Here is an 18,069-nt window from a genome sequence, read left to right as displayed (position 1 = left end):
TAGGTTTTTTGCACATTGAAAGTTTTTGGCAACCCTGCCTCAAGCAAATCTGTCAGTGCCATTTTTTGAATAGCATGGGCTTATTTCCTGTCTCTGTCACATTTTGTTAATTTTTAAACGATTTCAAACCTTTTCATTATTATTATAATATCTGTTATAGTGATTTGTGATCAGTGATCTATGATGTTACTATTATGTTTTGGGACGCCATGAACCACATTCGTATAAAATGGTGAACTTAATTGACAAATGTTGTGTGTGTTTTCTCCCTGCACCCCTGATCAGCCATCCTTCCATCTCCCTCTCCTTGGGCCTCCCTATTCCTTGACACCCAACAATGTTGAAATTACACCAATTAATAATCCTACAGTGGCCTCTAAGTGTTCAAGTGAAAGGAAGAGCTGCACATCTATCATATTAAATCAAAGGCCTGAAATGATTAGGCTTAGTGAGGAGGGCATGTTGAAACCCAAGGCAGGCCAAAAGCTAGACTTTGTTTGCCAGATAGCCCAGTTGTGACTGCAAAGAAAGGATTGATGAAGGAAATTAAAAGGGCTACTCCAATGAACACACAAATAATAAGAAAGCAAAACAGCCTTATTGCTGACATGAATAAAATTTACGTGGTATGGATAGAAAGATCAAACCAGCTACAACATTCCGTTAAGCAACAGCCTATTTCAGAGCAAGGAATAACTCTCTTCAATTCTATGATGGCTTACAGAAGTAAAGAAGCTGCAGAAGAAAAACTGGACATTAGCAGAGGTGTATTCATTAGGTTTAAGGAAAGAAGCCATCTGTATGACATAAAAGTGTCAGGTGAAGCAGCAAGTGCTGATGGGAAGCTGCAGAAAGTTATCCAGAAGATCTAACTAAGATCACTGATGAAGGTGACTACACTAAACTAATAGATTTTAAGTGTAGCTGAAACAGCCTTCTGTTAGAAGAACATGCCATCCAGGACTTTCCATACTAGAGAGAAGTCAATGCCTGGTTTCAAATCTTCAAAGGATAGGCTGACTGTCTTACTAGGGACTAATGCAGCTGGTAACTTTAAGTTGAGGTCAGTGATCATTTACCATTCCCCAAATCCTAGGGCCCTTAGGAATTATGTTGAATCCACTCTGTGCTCTAGAAATAGAACAACACAGCCTGGATGATAACACATCTGTTTACAGCATGGTTTAGTGAGTATTTTAAACCCACTGTTAGGACCCACTGCTCAGAAAAATAAAAGAAATTCCTTTCAAACATTACTGCTCATTGACAGTGCATCAAATCACCTAAGAGCTCTTATGGAGATGTACAAGGAGATGAAAGTTTTTGTGCTTGCTAACACAACATACATTCCGCAGTCCATGGATCAGTCCATGGAGTAGTTTTGACTTACAAATCATATCATTTAAGAATAATTTGTAAGTCTCTAGTTGCTGTAGATAGTGATTCCTCTGATGCATCTGGGCAAAGTAAGTTGAAAACTTTCTAGAAAGGACTTATCCTTCTAGATGATATGAAGAACATTTGTGATTTATGGAAGGAGTCAAAATATCCACATTAATTGAAATTGGAAAGAAGCTGATTTCAACCCTCATGGATGACTTTGAGGTGTTCAAGACTTCAGGGAAGGAAGTAACTGCAGAGGTAGTGGAAATGGCAAGATAACTAGAATGAGAAGTGGAGACTGAAGATGGGACTGAATTGCTGCAATCTCGTGATTAAACTAGAATGAATGAGGGGTTGCTTCTTACGGAGGAACAAACAGTGATTTCTTGAGACAGAATCTATTCCTGGTGAACATTGCTGAAATGACAACAAAGGATTTAGAATATTCTATAAACATAGTTCATAAAGCAGGGACAGAGTTTGAGAGGATTGCCTCCACTTTGGAAATAATTTCTACTGTGGGTAAAATGCTGTCAAACAGCATTGCACACTACAGAGAAATCTTTCATGAAAGAAATAAATTGATGTTGCAAATGTCATTGTTGTCTTATTTTAAGAAATTTCCACAGCCACTCCCATCTTTAGCAACCACTACTCTAATCAGTCAGCAGCCATCAAGATGGAATCAAGACTCCACCAGCAAAAAGATTACAACTCACCCAAAGCTCGAATGATTGGTAGCATTTTTTAGCAATAAAGTATTTTTTTAAATTATGGTATATACATTGCCTTTTTAGATATTATGCTATTGCACACTTAATAGTCTACAGTATAATGCAAATATATCTATTATATGCACTGGGAAACCTGGGAATTCATGTAACTTGCTTTATTGAGATGTTTGCTTTATCACACTGGTCTGGAACCAAACCCACACTGTCTCCAAGGTATGCCTCTAAGTGACTGTTTTGTGGTTTGCCACAAGATGGCAACAGTTATCTAACAATATATCTGTCTTCTAGTTTCCAGAGATGAATGATATGCTGAGAGAAAAGGTAACTGGAAGAAAAACCGATTTCACCTTCTTCATGATTCAGAATGCTGGAATGTTAACTGGATTCACAGCCATTCTACTCATTACCTTGTATGCAGGAGAAATCGAATTGGAGTAATAGAAAATGGAAGATGGTGTTGTTAATAAAGGCATTTAATAGATAAAAACATCTCCAAAAAGGATTTTGAAGCTGATCCTATTTAGTTAAAAAGATAATTTTGCTTTCAACTGTAGGTCCAGAAAACTAATTATTGGCATCAGTCTGTGAAATAGTCCATTATTTGTTGTTAAAAATGCTTCAAAAGGTTTTCAGTGTCAGTCTGAGATGCCTGGTATATAGGAGCCTTTGGGAAATACCTATTTTTCAGTATTCCATGCATATTAGATATCACCATGAAGCAAGAGACATGCATTCTATAATCATGTAGACACTCAGACTCAGGGGAAAATACAAGTTATATCCTGAAAGCCTTTAAAACTCTATGGTAGGATCAAAGATTCAAATGGTTTCAGAGAGGTTTTATTTCAATTAATTTGTTCTAGTGCTTTCAAGAGCAAGTACATCAAAATGTAGAAGGTAAAATGTATGCAACACTAATATAAATTATTCCAAGTCTTTAAGGAGCCAAAGAAAAAAAAGATTTCTCACAGCTTTTTGTTCTGTTTTGTATTTCAATTAGGAACTTGCAGTATTATTTTGAAAACCATTCTAAAATAATAGGAGTTAGGAAATAAATAAAGTTTTGCTAGCCCTGCTAAGTTCAGGCTTAGAGGCTTATCGCTAAGTATAAACTTCACCAGATTCCACGAAAAGCTGGATAGCTTTTTTTCTGACTTATGTTGTGGTTGCACCCCTCACAAATGGCAGAACAGTATGTAAAGCTGGTAACACCTCGGTTTCAGTGCACCATGTGTTTGCTTTGTGAAGGTGAAGAATATGTTGGTTTAGAGAAAGAAATTGGATGTAATTTTATGCAATTTACTTTTAAAGACAAACATAACTATTTAGCAGAGAATATTTTAATAAATGCAAAACAACAGCTGGACTGCTGTACATCAAGGACAGATTAACTGGAAAACATATGTTCCTTATGTGTGATCGAGAGCCATTCAGAAAAGACTTCCTTTGTGTTCAGCCTATACTTTTCCATATGGTATACCTTGAAAAAAATTAGCACACCATGGTTATTTTTCTACCTTTTATAAAAGACAGAGCCTGTTTACTCATTTAGAAGATAGAGAAAATTGGTCTAAAATTGAACATCCTAGATTCACACTCCCAAGTCACTTAAGGTGATTTGATGGTGAGGAAAATGATTGACAAAGCCCAACAATGATCTCAGGAATTACATTTTCCAACAGACCAAAAAATGTTTTCATGTAGCAGCAATGCAGATTTGGTGAATATTTAATATATATTTTAGTATGTATTTCACTTTATGACTGACAATTAAAAAATATTGTTTGGCCAAATAGTAAACACCCTTTTGAAACCATGTATTGTGTCATTTGTTATTTAATATTTGTCCTGTTGAGTGACTACCATGTATCTGGTATTATGGGGGAGAGATATAAATAGGAAATCAGTGATGTGCTCAAACTGTAAATCTAACCCCGCCATGGCTTATTTCTATACCAGTTGCTTAGCATGGCCAACCCAAGAGTCGACGATTTTAATAGTCTCTGAATAGTATTATGATGATCTCTCGTTACTTAGTAGGGCCCTACCTAGTAGACTGTTTCGCTTTACCACATCTAAAAGGGTTTCTTTAATGAGGTGCTTAAATTTTTAAAAAGTGAACTAGTTGAGAAGAGCCAAAACAGCACCACGAGTTTACCAGACAATTAACATAGGCATATCAACAGCTGATTACTGATGGCCTGTGCCAGGGGAAAACTTCCAGTCTGTCCTCCATGCTCTGGTTGGCATCATCTTCCTTTAGGTCTCACTTTGGAGACCAGACTTCTGTGCTCATTTAAGGTCCATTACGGTACAAGAGGTTAACCCTATAATAAATAAAGATTCTCCAACACTGATGTTACTACAGCTTCTTTCTCACTGATACTTTGCCTTCCATACAACTGTGGGTGGCAATGTCTGTGTTGGATTGCTTTTCCTTAGCTTCCTTTCTGTGCCAGGTATGCACAAGGCATTCTCTCATGGCCATTTCTCTTCCACATTGGGAATTTCCAGCTTCTGGATGGTCCCAGAATCAGTGAGTTTACTAGTAAGATTTCAGGCAAGCTAAGGCAGCTGGATAAACTGAAGACTCTAAATACCTGTTTCATTAATTCTAAGACATGCATTTCCCCAAATGGTATGCTGTAATCACTGACAGCTGGGTAGCATTGTGGAGGTAGTTATACTTGCCTGAAAATGAAAATCATCTGTTGCAATCTGGTAAGGCTAAGAAAATGCCAGTAGCACTGTGTTTAGGATTTGATGGTGTATAGTAACAGGATTATCTATGTTAGGTTTACTTTCCTTCTTATAAAACAAGTGTGGAAGGAGCAGTGCAGGGTTGGCATGGCAGTCCCATGGTGGCTGGGAACCCAGACTCCTTTAATCCATTAGCTCTGCCATCTTTAACTTGTGACTCCCACCTTCAAGATTGCTTCATGCTCTAAGATGGTTGCTACAGATTCAGCCTTAAGGTCTAAATTCTACATAGAAGGAGGAATGGGTAGAAAGGCAAAAAGTTCAAACTCAGCTCTTCCTCCCTCTTTAAAGAGCCTTTTCAGAAGTAATAGCCAATAATCTCCACTTGTATTCAATGACCAGAATTAGTCACATGGCCATACCAATCTTCAGGAGAAGCTGAGAAACATTGCTTTTAGCTGGATACATTACCAGCAATAAAATCAGAATTCTCTTACTGAAAAGAAGCCCAGACTGGATATCGGCTGTCTCAGGTACAGACAGGCTTGTATCAGTTTAATTCGTAAGCTTATTACTCCAGATGGTTCTTATGCAGCCAGTTTAGGGAACTGCTTTTTGTAGGGATTCTCATGACTTGTTTCAGATCAATCCCTTGTCACTTTAACTATTTTAATTATACTGGCCCATCTGAGCAGTCTTTCCTAATAACCAGTATTTTTCTTTACACACTTGAACTACTTGTCATTATAGTTTCTCTGCCTTAGCCTCCTGTGAGTACTATTTATTTACCTTGAAGAAATCCTATGTTTTTCACAGGATGATCTATATTCTAAGGAAACGGAAACAAAACTCTTTTCTATGGACTTTGATCTTTCTGTTTAAAGCTCTTCTGATTACTGGAGCCACATCCAGAATTATGAAACTAAGTACTATTAACACATACTGGCAAAAGTAAATTTAAAAAACCACTTATTTCTCCCCCTGCCCCATATGGGTTATTACAGCCAGTCAGTGCAAGAAAAGTTGGATCTGACATCCAAATGTGGTAAAGCAGAAACAGTCTGCTAGGTAGGGCCCTACTAAGTAACCAGAGATCATCATAATACTATTCAGGGACTATTAAAATCGTTGACTTTCGGGTTGGCCATGCTAAGCAACTGGTATAGAAATAAGCCATGGCGGGGCTAGATTTACAGTTTGAGCACATCACTGATTTCCTATTTATATCTCTCCCCCATAATACCAGTTTGTTATCTGATTCTTGTAGATAATCAAATGGGCTACTGATGACATCAAATCTCAACTTCATTTACTTTGGATATATACGGTAAGAATAACAAGGAACAATTTTAATGGGTGGGCTTGCATGTTTTAAAGTTTATACAATGGCTTAATTCCTTCTGCAGTGACTGTGCATGTTATTCCCACAACAGTATAGACCAACTGGTAGTAAAACCCCAGTGAGGCAACACGTGGATAATTTATTGCCAAGCTTATGGTCACCAACAGGATGTTTGCTTAGGGGTCATAGGAAAGAAAAATAAAGATGAAAAGTTATGAGTACAGGGGGAAATCTCCTTGGAAGAATTCAAATGGGAAATTCTTCCCTCTCTCAAAAAGCTGAGGAAGTTTATAAAACTTGTTTCAGTCTGTATTTTGTGGCAAGCTCCATTAGCAGACCTCACAGACACTGCGGGTGGTGTCTGTAGAGAGGCTCAGAGGAGGTCTGGCAAGTGCTTTTGCAGGTGAAGTGAGGAGAGTTGTTGCTACCCCAGCTTGACCTTCAGTCGTAGAGTTTGTTGGGATAAAAGGTAGACGAATATTCCCATGGTCTAGTGTGAGCCGAGTGGTGTGTAAGTTCTGGTTTGGAACAATTTAAAATCTTGTGTAAGAGGGGTACTATCTTGAAAATAGAAGAAGGTCAGTACTGAGTGAACTTCTGGAAAACCAAGGACTAAGTCATGTGGGGCAATTGGAGAACTAGAATACATCACTTGGCAGGAACCCCTCTGAAGAATCCCAAAAGTGTCTATAAAAGAAAGGTTAGTCTTAAGCATCTGTCAGACAGACAGCATTAAGCAACATTTTGACAGTATCTGTCAAGTATGAACTTTTTTATCCCCTTTTCTTTCCTTCATCTGAGCACTTAACCCTGGAAGGGCCAAAAGCCAATTAGTGAACAGTGGGGAGTAAGGAAATAAAAGAGAAGGATTCCTTCCCAGAAGTCTTACCTTTGAATACAAATTGAATTACTGATTGATGCATTGGATTGGACATTTTCAATAACTGACTTGAGACTATGTTTGTGTCTTGAAGTAATTGTAGGATTTTATATTCCCTCCAAAGTCCTGTGTGAGAACAGCCATTGTGCCACCCCAAGTTTCATCCAGGGGTAGGAGAAGGGCTAGCCAGTCCTTCACTCCCAAGCAGACAGTGAGGAATAAAATTAAAAGTTGTTTTTAGTTACCCCTGTGAGAACTGCATGTTAATATACTGATTATATCTGCCCTTTAAAAATTAGTACTTACACACACCTGTAGTCCCAGCTACTCGGGAGGCTGAGGCAGGAGAATGGTGTTAATCAGGGAGGCGGAGCTTGCAGTGAGCCGAGATCGCGCCACTGCACTCCAGCCTGGGTGACAAAGCAAGACTCCGTCTCAAAAAAAAAAACAAAAAACAAAAAACACTTACTTACAACAAACCTGTGTAATGGGTTCTATTTTTAATGCTAGGCCAGGCTGCAGCTGAGAAGTTGCAAAGGAACCCCATGCTCAGGGATGCAGCCAGGGAAGAGCATGACAAAAGCCCTCCCACCCACACTGCTGACCTCTTGCAGCAGCTGCAAACAGCAGGAGAGCCCTTTCCTGTTGCAGTATCCCTCCAGCGCCCTCTACTGAGACAGCTCAATATCATGCTCACTGTAAAGGATGGGTGCTAAAGGAATTCTGTTCATTATGACAGAGCATGTATTTAGAGTGAATTTGGAGTTCAGTGTTAGTAAGTTGGTAAGTGGCACAGGGAGACATTACTCCGTGACTAAATGACATCACTCTGTGGTGATGGGACTTCGTGCATTTGCAATGTTGGGGACATAGACTTTTCAACTGTACAGGATGGGGATCCACTCTCCACCCTTCTGTATCCTGCTTTTTGCCTCCAGAGACTGACCCACATGGACCTCAGTGGGTATAGCCAAATGGAGAACTTCGACAAGAGACTGGAGGAAGTGAAGAGAGGAAGGATAGAGTATCAATTTCCTTGACTATCCTCCTACTGGGTATCCTTGGGCTGCCTGTTTTGCCCAAGAAGGCCTTCTCTACAGAAAAGCTTCTTACAATATCTGTGGCTAAGGCCCAGCTTGTTTTCCTTATTTCCAATTTATCAATAGCTGGCACTTCTGTAAATAGATAGAATTCAAAGAAATTACTAGAAAAATGAAATACAATTAAAAATAAATAAATAAATTAGCTGGGGGTGGTGGCGGACACCTGTAATCCCAGTTATTCAGGAGGCTGAGGCAGGAGAATTGAACCCGGGAGGCAGAGGTTGCAGTGAGCCGAGATAATGCCACTGCACTCTAGCATGGGTAACAGAGCAAGACTCCATCTTGGAAAAAAAAAAAAAGACATAGAAAATCCAACCCCATTTTTATTATTAGATAAACCTCATTTTTTATTAGACACAATTATTCTTTGGGATTACTGTTGAAGTTTATAAATGCTTATTCTCAATTTCCGTACCTAGTTCATCTAAAAAACTGTTGCTGGGCCAGCACCTGCCTGTAGATTCCCCTCCTTTGGTTTTGGTGCCCACTATCTCTCTGTCCCTTTGGCCTAGGGGTAGTAACAGCTCTACTGTCTTCAGCCCTGCGTTCATGTAGCATCACCTGTGGTTTCCCTGCACCCCACTTGCATGTTTGTAATCAGTCCCTTTGTAAATTAATGGACCTGCCTCACCTTACCCTCATTTGAGCATGGCAGTTCTTTGTTTCCCCTGTGGCTGTGATTATCAGCAGTAAACGTCTTATCCTGGAAGAGGAGGTGACTGTGTGAATTTGGCAGGAGAAGGAATACACAACAAGTGCGTATATGGGAGTGAAGTTGCTGCTCACTGAAAGCAAGGAGAAAATTTATGGGGATGAAAGATGATAAGCCATTATCATTAAACATTTTAGGGTAACAAGATGGCATTAGGTTAGATTAATTTGTATGATTAACTATGCATACAGAGAAAAATATCTAGGATGTTTTGAGAGACTAGTTATAAGTGGACTTATCACATTTCTGGCAGATAAGAATCTTTTGACTAGATAAAAGACTGTAACCAACTGTCCAACAACACGTCCTTAAGCATGAATCATCACGTATTTTTAAATAAAGACATAGATTTCTAGATAGGGAAGAATGAATATATTTTTATGATTGTTTATTGAACAGTTTATGCCTTATGGGAATCCTTCTCGTGTAGATGTATCTATAGGTCACATTCCCTCACTTAAAGCATACTATGAAGTGCTACGTGGAATATCTGAGTGAGAACACCGGGACTGCTGCTTGTGACTGTATTGCTGAGACGTTCCACCCATTCACAGCAATGCTTATAAATAGACAATGTTTTTTCTTTGGGAGTCATTGTATGTGCTAACCTTAATGGTGTTACTCTAATAATTATGTACGAGCTTGTTAATGAACTGGGAAACATTGATTTTAGAAGCTTAGAAACTGTGGAGGAAGGTGCTTCATATGGATCTTTCTACTTTTTGTATCTTTTGTGTTTCCATGAAAAAATCTTTTAATTTGTGAAAAGTAAGCCTCAGAATTCATGTCTAAGCATTTCGTAGAAGGATGCACGTGAGAAAAAGCACCTGCGCTGTCATAGCGATCCTTTGGTGTTTTAAGATGAAAAAGTTCAAAGCATTTTAGAATAGTCATAAAGATGACATTGTATAAGTTAGGAGCTGGGTTGTCCTGTCACTTTGTGGTGACAAAACTGGTGAAAGTGGTATTAAAATCATTGCTGGATATGTTTGGAGTAATGCACTTCTGTTGATTGTTTCTGCATACCTTGACTTCTGCCCTTGTCCATGTAAAAGCTTCACTCTTCCTTTTAGAAACTGGTTTCTCCCAACCCCTACTGGAGATTGTCAACCAATGCACTTAACCTCACCCATTTGCCACAAGCTGGGCAAGTCACCCAGTCTGGGTCAATTGTAATCTTTACACAGAAACTTCTAAGGATGTGGAGAGCCAAAACTCTTGCCTCTTGTATTTGACCCCAGAGCTTCTGGTGGTCATGTTCCTGGCACAAGGAGAAACCCGGGAAAATGAGATGGATGCTGAGAAAACAGTAGAAGCTATGGGGACTGATTGGAGAGAGTTGTGTTGTCTTTGGTTCTAGTTCCTGACATCCTTAGTACTTTTCAGTTATTTTTCTTTAGTTCCTTCAATTTTGTAAGTTACCCAAGTTATTCTAGTATCTCAGTATGTCCTTTTTGGCTTTAACTAATTTGATTTGGGTTTCTGTTTCTTGCAATACAATTTTTCTAATTAATACAGCAGTTAAATATTGAGATATTTATTTCAAACAAAATTCCCAGCTCTTGAATTTAGCAAAGTTCCTCAGCACTTTCTGGAACTTCACTATCAATGTCAGGAGTCAACTTCCTAGGCAGAGTATAGTAAAATCTCTATTATGTTCCAGTAGTGGTGAGCAAAAATCTTTCAAAACTCATGGATAATTTCTATTTATTTTTATTTCACTTTGGAATACATAGAAACATTGTACATATTTTACTTTTTTTCACTTAGCACAATTAATACATCAAAAGTGAAGGTTGTTCCTCAGTGACAACTATGAGAGGGTAACTAACATTTGATGCCACTGAAAAGTTTTGGAGCCAAAAGGGGCCTCAATCTATAACCTAAACAACCTTGAGTTCAGAACAAATAATGGTGTTGAAATAATATTCTATGTATAGAACCATATGATTTTTAAGAGCAGGAGCAGGATAACTGAGGGAATAACTTATATACCTTGACAAGCCATGCAAAATCAGACTTCATAGATAACTCCAAGGAAGATGTTTAATGTAGGATATGAATCTAGGCTACACTTCATACATCATGTTTTCACAGAAAAATGCAGTTTCCTAGCAACCATCACCTGGTTGTCAAGTTATTATTTGATTTTTACAGACATCTGGCTTTTTAAGGCACATGCCTCACTGATATGTAAGCATAATATCTAGGTTAGTGTTGAAATAATTATATTTCACTTTCTTCCAAATAATACTTAAAAATTAATTGTTCAAACTTTGCCTCTTTTTGAAATTATGATAAACCATTGTAGGGAACTATGGTAGAGAATAAGGAAAAAAATTCTGAGCTTGTTCTTCTGTGAATGAATGAATGAATTCATTTGTTCAATAAAACACATATTCAATGTCTACTGATGCTAGGCCTGGAGATATAAAGATAGATCAGAGCTCATCTCTGCTCTCAAGGGTATCATGGCATGTGGAAAACCAATGATATCACAAATCAGAGTGTTATGTTAGAGAACATGGACAGTCAGCTCAATAGTAATTGTGCACAAATGGGAGAATTCTCCTTAGGTTGGAGGAGGAGTCAGTGAAAAATACTTCACAAAGGAGGAAACATTTGACTGTTTGACTTGGGTTTAATGAATAACGTCGAATTCATTTCTGATCAGACCTCTTCTCTCCTCCCATGACTGGAACCAAGAGCCTTTTCCTGTGGTTTAACTTGAGCTGGAACTCTTTTGCAATTAATGATACCAAAAGAGAACTGTAGAGTGTAAATATGTGTTGGGGGTAAGGTGTTCCAGATAGTTGTGATTAATAACATTACCACAAGCAGAAAGGAAATGCAAACAATCAAATTAATACTAACTGAAGAAAGGCAGGCTACTCAGCGGTACGCACACTATAGCCACACTTTTTGTTATATATGTATGTATGTATATATAACATATACATATGGGAAAATATTTTCTAGTACATTAGTAGGGGATATCTCGATGGGATTATGAATCATTTTAAATTGGTTCTTTGTAAAATGTTAATATTGTCTCAATTTTTTTCAATAAACACGTACTTACCGGTAAATTAGAAGGGAAATTAGAAGAAGTCTTGGTGGGATTTTTGAATTATTCAAAATATATTATTTTTAATGCTTTCCAATTTTCTTCAATGAACATGTATTCTAAAAAAGCTAATAGATGTGATTAGGAAAAAGGAGAAAAGCTAACAACTTAGAGGACTGAAAGATTACGGAAACATGGTAACTCACATGCTTAAAACTTTACTATGTTCCTTCTCTTTGTCTGTCAGGCAAGGTAGTAATTTCATTATCTGGAGTATTTCACCTCCACATCTCTGCAATACCAGCACCTTCAACAGTGATTGGTTAGAGGTTGGCATATGACATAGTTATGACCATTGAGACGTGATGCTGTGTGTGCTGTGAAGTTTCTCAAAAGGAGTAAGGAAGATACAGCCTCTTCTTTCTAGGGACTTTGTTTGTAGGTGTGACACCTGGAGCAGCCATTTTGCTACTGTTTTGTTTCTAATTGTGTTCCCCGCCGCCCTCCCCGCTCGCCCCGAAAAACGACATGTTTGAGTTCTAATCCCCAGTATTTCAGAATGTGACCTTATTTGGAAATAGAGTCATTGCAAATGTAATTTGTTAAGATGAGCTCATACTGGAGTAGAGTGGGTTCCTGATCTAGTATGACTGGTATTCTTATTAAAAAGAGAAATTTGAATACTAGCTACACCATGTAAAGATGAAGGCAGAGATCGTGGTGATGCATCTACAATGTCAACAATTGCCAGCAAATCATCAGAATCTGGGAGAGAGGTATGGAATGAATTCTCTCTCGCAGCCCTAAGAAGGAACCAATCCTGTGCACACCTGAATCTTGGACTTCCAGCCTCCACAACTGTGAGACAATACATTTTTGTTATTTAAGCTACCCAGTTGTGGCACTTTATTACTGCAGTTCTAGCCGACTAATACAGCTACCTTGAGAGGAAATAGCATGGGGATGAAGGTGATGTGCTGAAGAAGCACAGCAGAAAGTGGAAAGATGGTCCATGAGGACATCCTTAGCCACTGAATTGACAAGCCTCTTCCCTGGAGTCCCTCTTCCTTGGGATTTTTTTTGGTGTGTGTAATAATCACTTTTCCTAATGGTGCAAACCATTGTGAGTTGCTCTTTGACTGCTAGTAATTAAAGCAAACTAACCAAGTCAGCCCTCCCCAGTGTTCCTTTTTGCAATCTAAATTCTGATGTCCAACTCCTCCCTGGGCCACTCCCTGTCCCCAGATGTCTCTTTGTATATCTAAAGAAGAAAAAGAAGGATAAATCCTTTTTCTCCCAAGAGATCTCCCTGCTTTTGTGAAAAGCACAAAGAAGGGCATTATCTAACTTTTCTCATCATTAGAAGTCAAGCCTGGCCGTGACTCCCGTTATGACATTTTGATGGCCACATTTTATGAGAAAAGCCCAAACAGACAGACCTGTCTGTAAATTCTTTCATCCTTTGCATTCTTTCTTTGACTGTACCTTAGAGAGTGTTTGATTATTGCAGGGGAGATGGAAAAGAAGCAGGTTCTGGCCTATGCTCTAGTTCCTCACTTTCTGGAGTTATCTTTTGGGCCTGGAGTCTCTTGGAGTGAGGAAAGGAAGCCATTTTTATACTTTACTTATGGTAGAGTTAAACTTCGTACTCTTAGGAGGCTACATGCAATCTCCAAGAGGAAGAGAGTGAAGAGGTTAAGAATTATGCCATCAAAATGTGCTGCTCTGGCATATTGACTATTTGAATTACAGATATTTTAAAAACATCAGATATGAAGAGGTCACTCTGATCTTAATTCTGTGTCTTAACAGCAGGAGATGAAATTCCCACATGGGAGATGGCCTCCCTGTCACAGAAGGAATACCATTCTCCCTATCAATGATGAGAAATTGGAACTGAGAGAATTCTGTATAGACCTTGTTCAAGTAATTCTTCTATTTTAAACCTCCCCACATAATTTAGCTGCCTTTTCAAAACTACTGTCCTTTGTGCAACCAGTATAGAAGCGATTGACTCTCACTGCATCCTTGGGTCTTCTTTTCCCTATATGGGCTCTTTTCCCATATGGGCTCTTATGTCCTGTAAAACATGTATTAAATAAATTTGTATGCTTTTCTCCCGTTAACCTGTCTTACATCAATTTAATTCTTGGGCCCAGGTAGGACCCTAAGAGGACAGAGGTCGAGTTTTGCCACCTCTGCAAGAGAAAAGAGAGATGCCCAGACCACCAGGCCTGGGAAATCTTTGATTTCCCAGGCTTTGAAGTGGGCACTGTGTCTGAACCTGGCCCTCTGAAACTTCCTGTTCCTGGACATCCCAGCTGCTAATGTGAGTTGCCCTTGCACTGGCTCAGGGCTGGGACATTAAAGGAATTTCCCTTTTGTTGACATAACAGTAGGATGGCTATAGCTAACAATAATATATTATTTAGTTTCAAGTAGCTAGAAGGAACATATGAATGTTCCCAACACAAAGAAATGACAACTATTTGAGATGATGGATATGCTAATAACCTTAATCTGATTCCTATACATTATATGCATCACATATACATACATTATATGTATAACATCACTATGTACCCCATAAATATGTGCAATTATTGTCAATTAAACAAATAAATTTAAACAAACATTCCTATGCTTTTCTCATTTTCATGTGGCTTCCCTGTGTCTTTTCAGGGGCTAAAGTAACTCACGCTTCCACAGAGGAAATGGATTTGTGGGGAGAGAATAATTATTTGTACTCACATGAACTCTCCAGCCCCTGATCACCAGGCAGAACTCCTAACTGGTATTCTCCTTCCATTTGTGTTGCAGGTCATGGTGAGAGGTGACAGTGTGCTGGCAGCCCTCGCAGCCCTGGCTCGCTCTGGGTGCCTCCTCGGCCTCGGCGCCCACTGTGGCCGTGCTTGAGGCGCCCTTCAGCCTGCTGCTGCACTGTGGGAGCCCCTTTCTGGGCTGGCCGAGGCCGGAGCCAGCTCCCTCAGCTTGCGGGGAGGTGTGGAGGCAGAGGCGCGGGTGGGAACCAGGTCTGCGTGGTGCTTGCGGGGCCAGCCGAGTTCCCGGTGGGCGTGGGCTCGGCGGGCCCCTCACTCAGAGTGGCCGGCCAGCCACACTGGCCCTGGGCAGTCAGGAGCTTAGCACCTGGGCCAGCAGCTGCAGAGGGTGCGCCGGGTACCCCAGCAGTGCCGGCCCACCCGCGCGGGGCTCAATTTCTTGCCAGGCCTTAGCTGCCTCCCTGCCGGGCAGGAGGACCTGCAGCCCGCCATACTTCAGCCTCCCCGCAGCCGCGGGCTCCTGCGCTGCACTAGCCTCCCCAATGATTGCCGCCCCCTGCTCCATGGCACCAGTCCCATCACCGCCCAAGGGCTGAGGATTGTGGGCACAAGGCTCAGGACTGGCAGGCAGCTCCACCTGCGCCCCGGTGCAGGATCCACTGGGTGAAGCCACCTGGGCTCCTGAGTCTAGTGGGGACTTGGAGAACCTTTATGTCTAGCTAAGGGATTGTAAATACATCAATCAGCACTCTGTATATAGCTCAAGGTTTGTAAACACACCAATCTGCACCCTGTGTCTAGCTCAAGGTTTGTAAATGCACCAATCAGCACTCTGTGTCTAGCTGATCTGGTGGGGACTTGGAGAACCTTTATGTCTAGCTAAGGGATTGTGAATACACCAGTACACCAATCAGCACTCTGTGTCTAGCTCAAGATTTGTAAATGCACTAATCAGCACTCTGTGTCTAGCTCAGGGTTTGTAAATACACCATTCAGCACTCTATATCTAGCTAATCTAGTGGGGACCAGGAGAACTTTTGTGTCTAGCTCAGGGATTGTAAATGCACCAATCAGCACCCTGTCAAAACGGACCAATCAGCTCTCTGTAAAATGGACCAATCTGCTCTCTGTAAAATGGACCAATCAGCAGGATGTGGGTGGGGCCAGATAAGGGAATAAAAGCAGGCTGCCGAAGGCAGCAGTGGTAACCTGCTGTTGTCTCCTTCTGTGTTGTGGAAGCTTTGTTCTTCGCTCTTTGCAATACAGCTTGCTGCTGCTCACTCTTCGGGTCTGCACTGCCTTTATGAGCTGTAACACTCACTGCGAAGGTCTGCAGCTTCACTCCTGAAGCCAGCGAGAGCAGGAACCCACCAGAAGGAAGAAACTCCGAACACATCCGAACATCAGAAGGAACAAACTCTGGACACACCACCTTTAAAAACTGCAACACTCACTGTGAGGGTCCACGGTTTCATTCTTGAAGTCAATGAGACCAAGAACCCACCAATTCTGGACATAATGGGTTTGAGGGATCTCCTGAAAAAACTTTGGAGCTTTTACCCAGGAATGCTGGTCTGGGTTCTCATCTTATTTACTCATTCATTTAAGAAATGGTGATGAATGGCCGGGCGCGGTGGCCTGCACCTGTAATCCCAGCACTTTGGGAGGCCAAGGCGGGTGGATCATGAGGTCAGGAGATCGAGACCATGGTGAAACCCCATCTCTATTAATCTATTAAAAAATAAAAGAAAATTAGCTGGGCGCGGTGGCGGGTGCCTGTAGTCCCAGCTACTTGGGAGGCTGAGGCCGGAGGATGGAGTGAACCTGGTAGGTGGAGCTTGTAGTGAGCCGAGATCGCGCTACTGCACTCCAGTCTGGGCTACAGAGCAAGACTCCGTCTCAAAAAAAAAAAAAAGGGTGATGGATTGGCCAGGTGCAGTGGCTCACGCCTGTAATCCCAGCACTTTGGGAGGCCAAGGCTGGTGGATCACAAGGTCAGGAGATCGAGACCATCCTGGCTAACATGGTGAAACCCCGTCTCTACTAATAATACAAAAAAAAATTAGTCGGGCATGGTGGCGGGCTCTTGTAGTCCCAGTTACTTGGGAGGCTGAGACAGGAGAATGACGTGAACCCAGGAGGCGGAGCTTGCGGTGAGCCGCGATAGCGCTACTGCACTCCAGCTGGGGCGACAGAGCGAGACTCTGTCTCAAAAAAAAAAAAAAAAGAAATGGTGATGGATTGATATTCAGAGAAAGGTATTTTTGAAGCTGGTGTTTCTCTGCTGATGAATAAAGAGTGGGAAATATCTTCCTTGAATGCTGTGGTTATCAAAGTTGAAATTAATGATTGTGAAGTATCCTTACAAAACTTGTGAGAGTAAAAATGTTTCTTAAAAGTATGCAAAGAAACTAGGTCATTCCTCAGCCCAGTTATAACATACAGAACTTGCTATTTCCAGATGAGTATAAAAATAGGTAATATTGATCAGAGAACATTTTATTAAATATAACACATGCTTTTTAGTGCTGACTTATTGTCAATCAATAAGTATTAGCCACTAAGTGCTTCTTCTATTTAAATTATATTATTTATTTCATTTACCACTTATACTGTCACTTACTAAGTAAGTATTACTTCTGTTAAAAGTAATTTTCCAGGCTGGGTGTGATGACTCATGCCTGTAATCCCAGCACTTTGGGAGGCAGAGGTGGGAGGATCACTTGAGGCCAGGAGTTCAAAGAAGCCTGGGCAACATAGCAAGGGCCTGTCTGTACAAAAAATTTTTTAAAAACTTGGCCGAGTGTGGTGGTGCTCACCTGTAGTCTCAGCTACTCAGGAGGCTGAGATGAGAGGATCACCTGAGTCCAGGTTCTAGGCTGCAGTGAGCTATGATAGCACCACTGCACTCCACCTGGGAGACAGAGAGAGACTCTGTCTCTAAAGAAAAAAACCTAATTTTCTTTTTGAAATTTCTTCTATGTATATAATTATAAAAATACATTTCTGGGATGATCATAGAAATATTTTCCTACTTAAAATTATTTTCAGTTATTAAATGTAAATTTATTTTCAGTTATTTAAACTTTTACATTGGATCTTACATCACTGAAAACAGTTCTTTACAGTTTGTTTATTTATTTATTTGAAATTGGAGTAACAGCAGATGTGTTGAAAAGTGTTTTGGAATCAGAGAGACCAGACATTAAATTCTACCTCTGATGACTACTTGCTGTGTGAACTGGATCACATCTCTCTGGACCTCAGTTTCCTCATGTGTAACATAAGGATAATAATTTCTGTCTCACTGAATTAAATGTGACCATGGATGAGACACCTGGTATGTAGTAAACACTCAACTTTTAAAA

The 18,069-nt window shown here is 40.3% G+C and overlaps 1 protein-coding gene across 8 annotated transcripts in view; it reads left to right on the top strand.

Moving 5' to 3' along the window:
* The window catches only part of SLC39A8 (solute carrier family 39 member 8), a 94,442-nt gene extending 79,884 nt beyond the window's left edge, over positions 1-14,558 (top strand). For 4 of the 8 annotated variants that reach the window (XM_047416070.1, NM_022154.5, XM_017008541.2 and 1 more), the window contains one exon: positions 2,406-3,935. In XM_047416070.1, coding sequence (XP_047272026.1) covers positions 2,406-2,555 — 150 coding nt within the window. In that variant the 3' untranslated portion in view covers positions 2,556-3,935. Of the gene's footprint in view, positions 1-2,405; positions 3,936-6,084; positions 6,145-7,977; positions 8,242-12,168 lie in introns of those variants that run through there. The other 4 variants (NM_001135146.2, NM_001135148.2, NM_001135147.1 and 1 more) reach the window with 3 other exon arrangements.

Source organism: Homo sapiens, chromosome 4 (genome assembly GCF_000001405.40).
Source record: "Homo sapiens chromosome 4, GRCh38.p14 Primary Assembly".
Taxonomy (NCBI): domain Eukaryota; kingdom Metazoa; phylum Chordata; class Mammalia; order Primates; family Hominidae; genus Homo; species Homo sapiens.
Note: the sequence above shows the minus strand (reverse complement) of the source record. Positions and strands in the feature narration are given on the sequence as shown.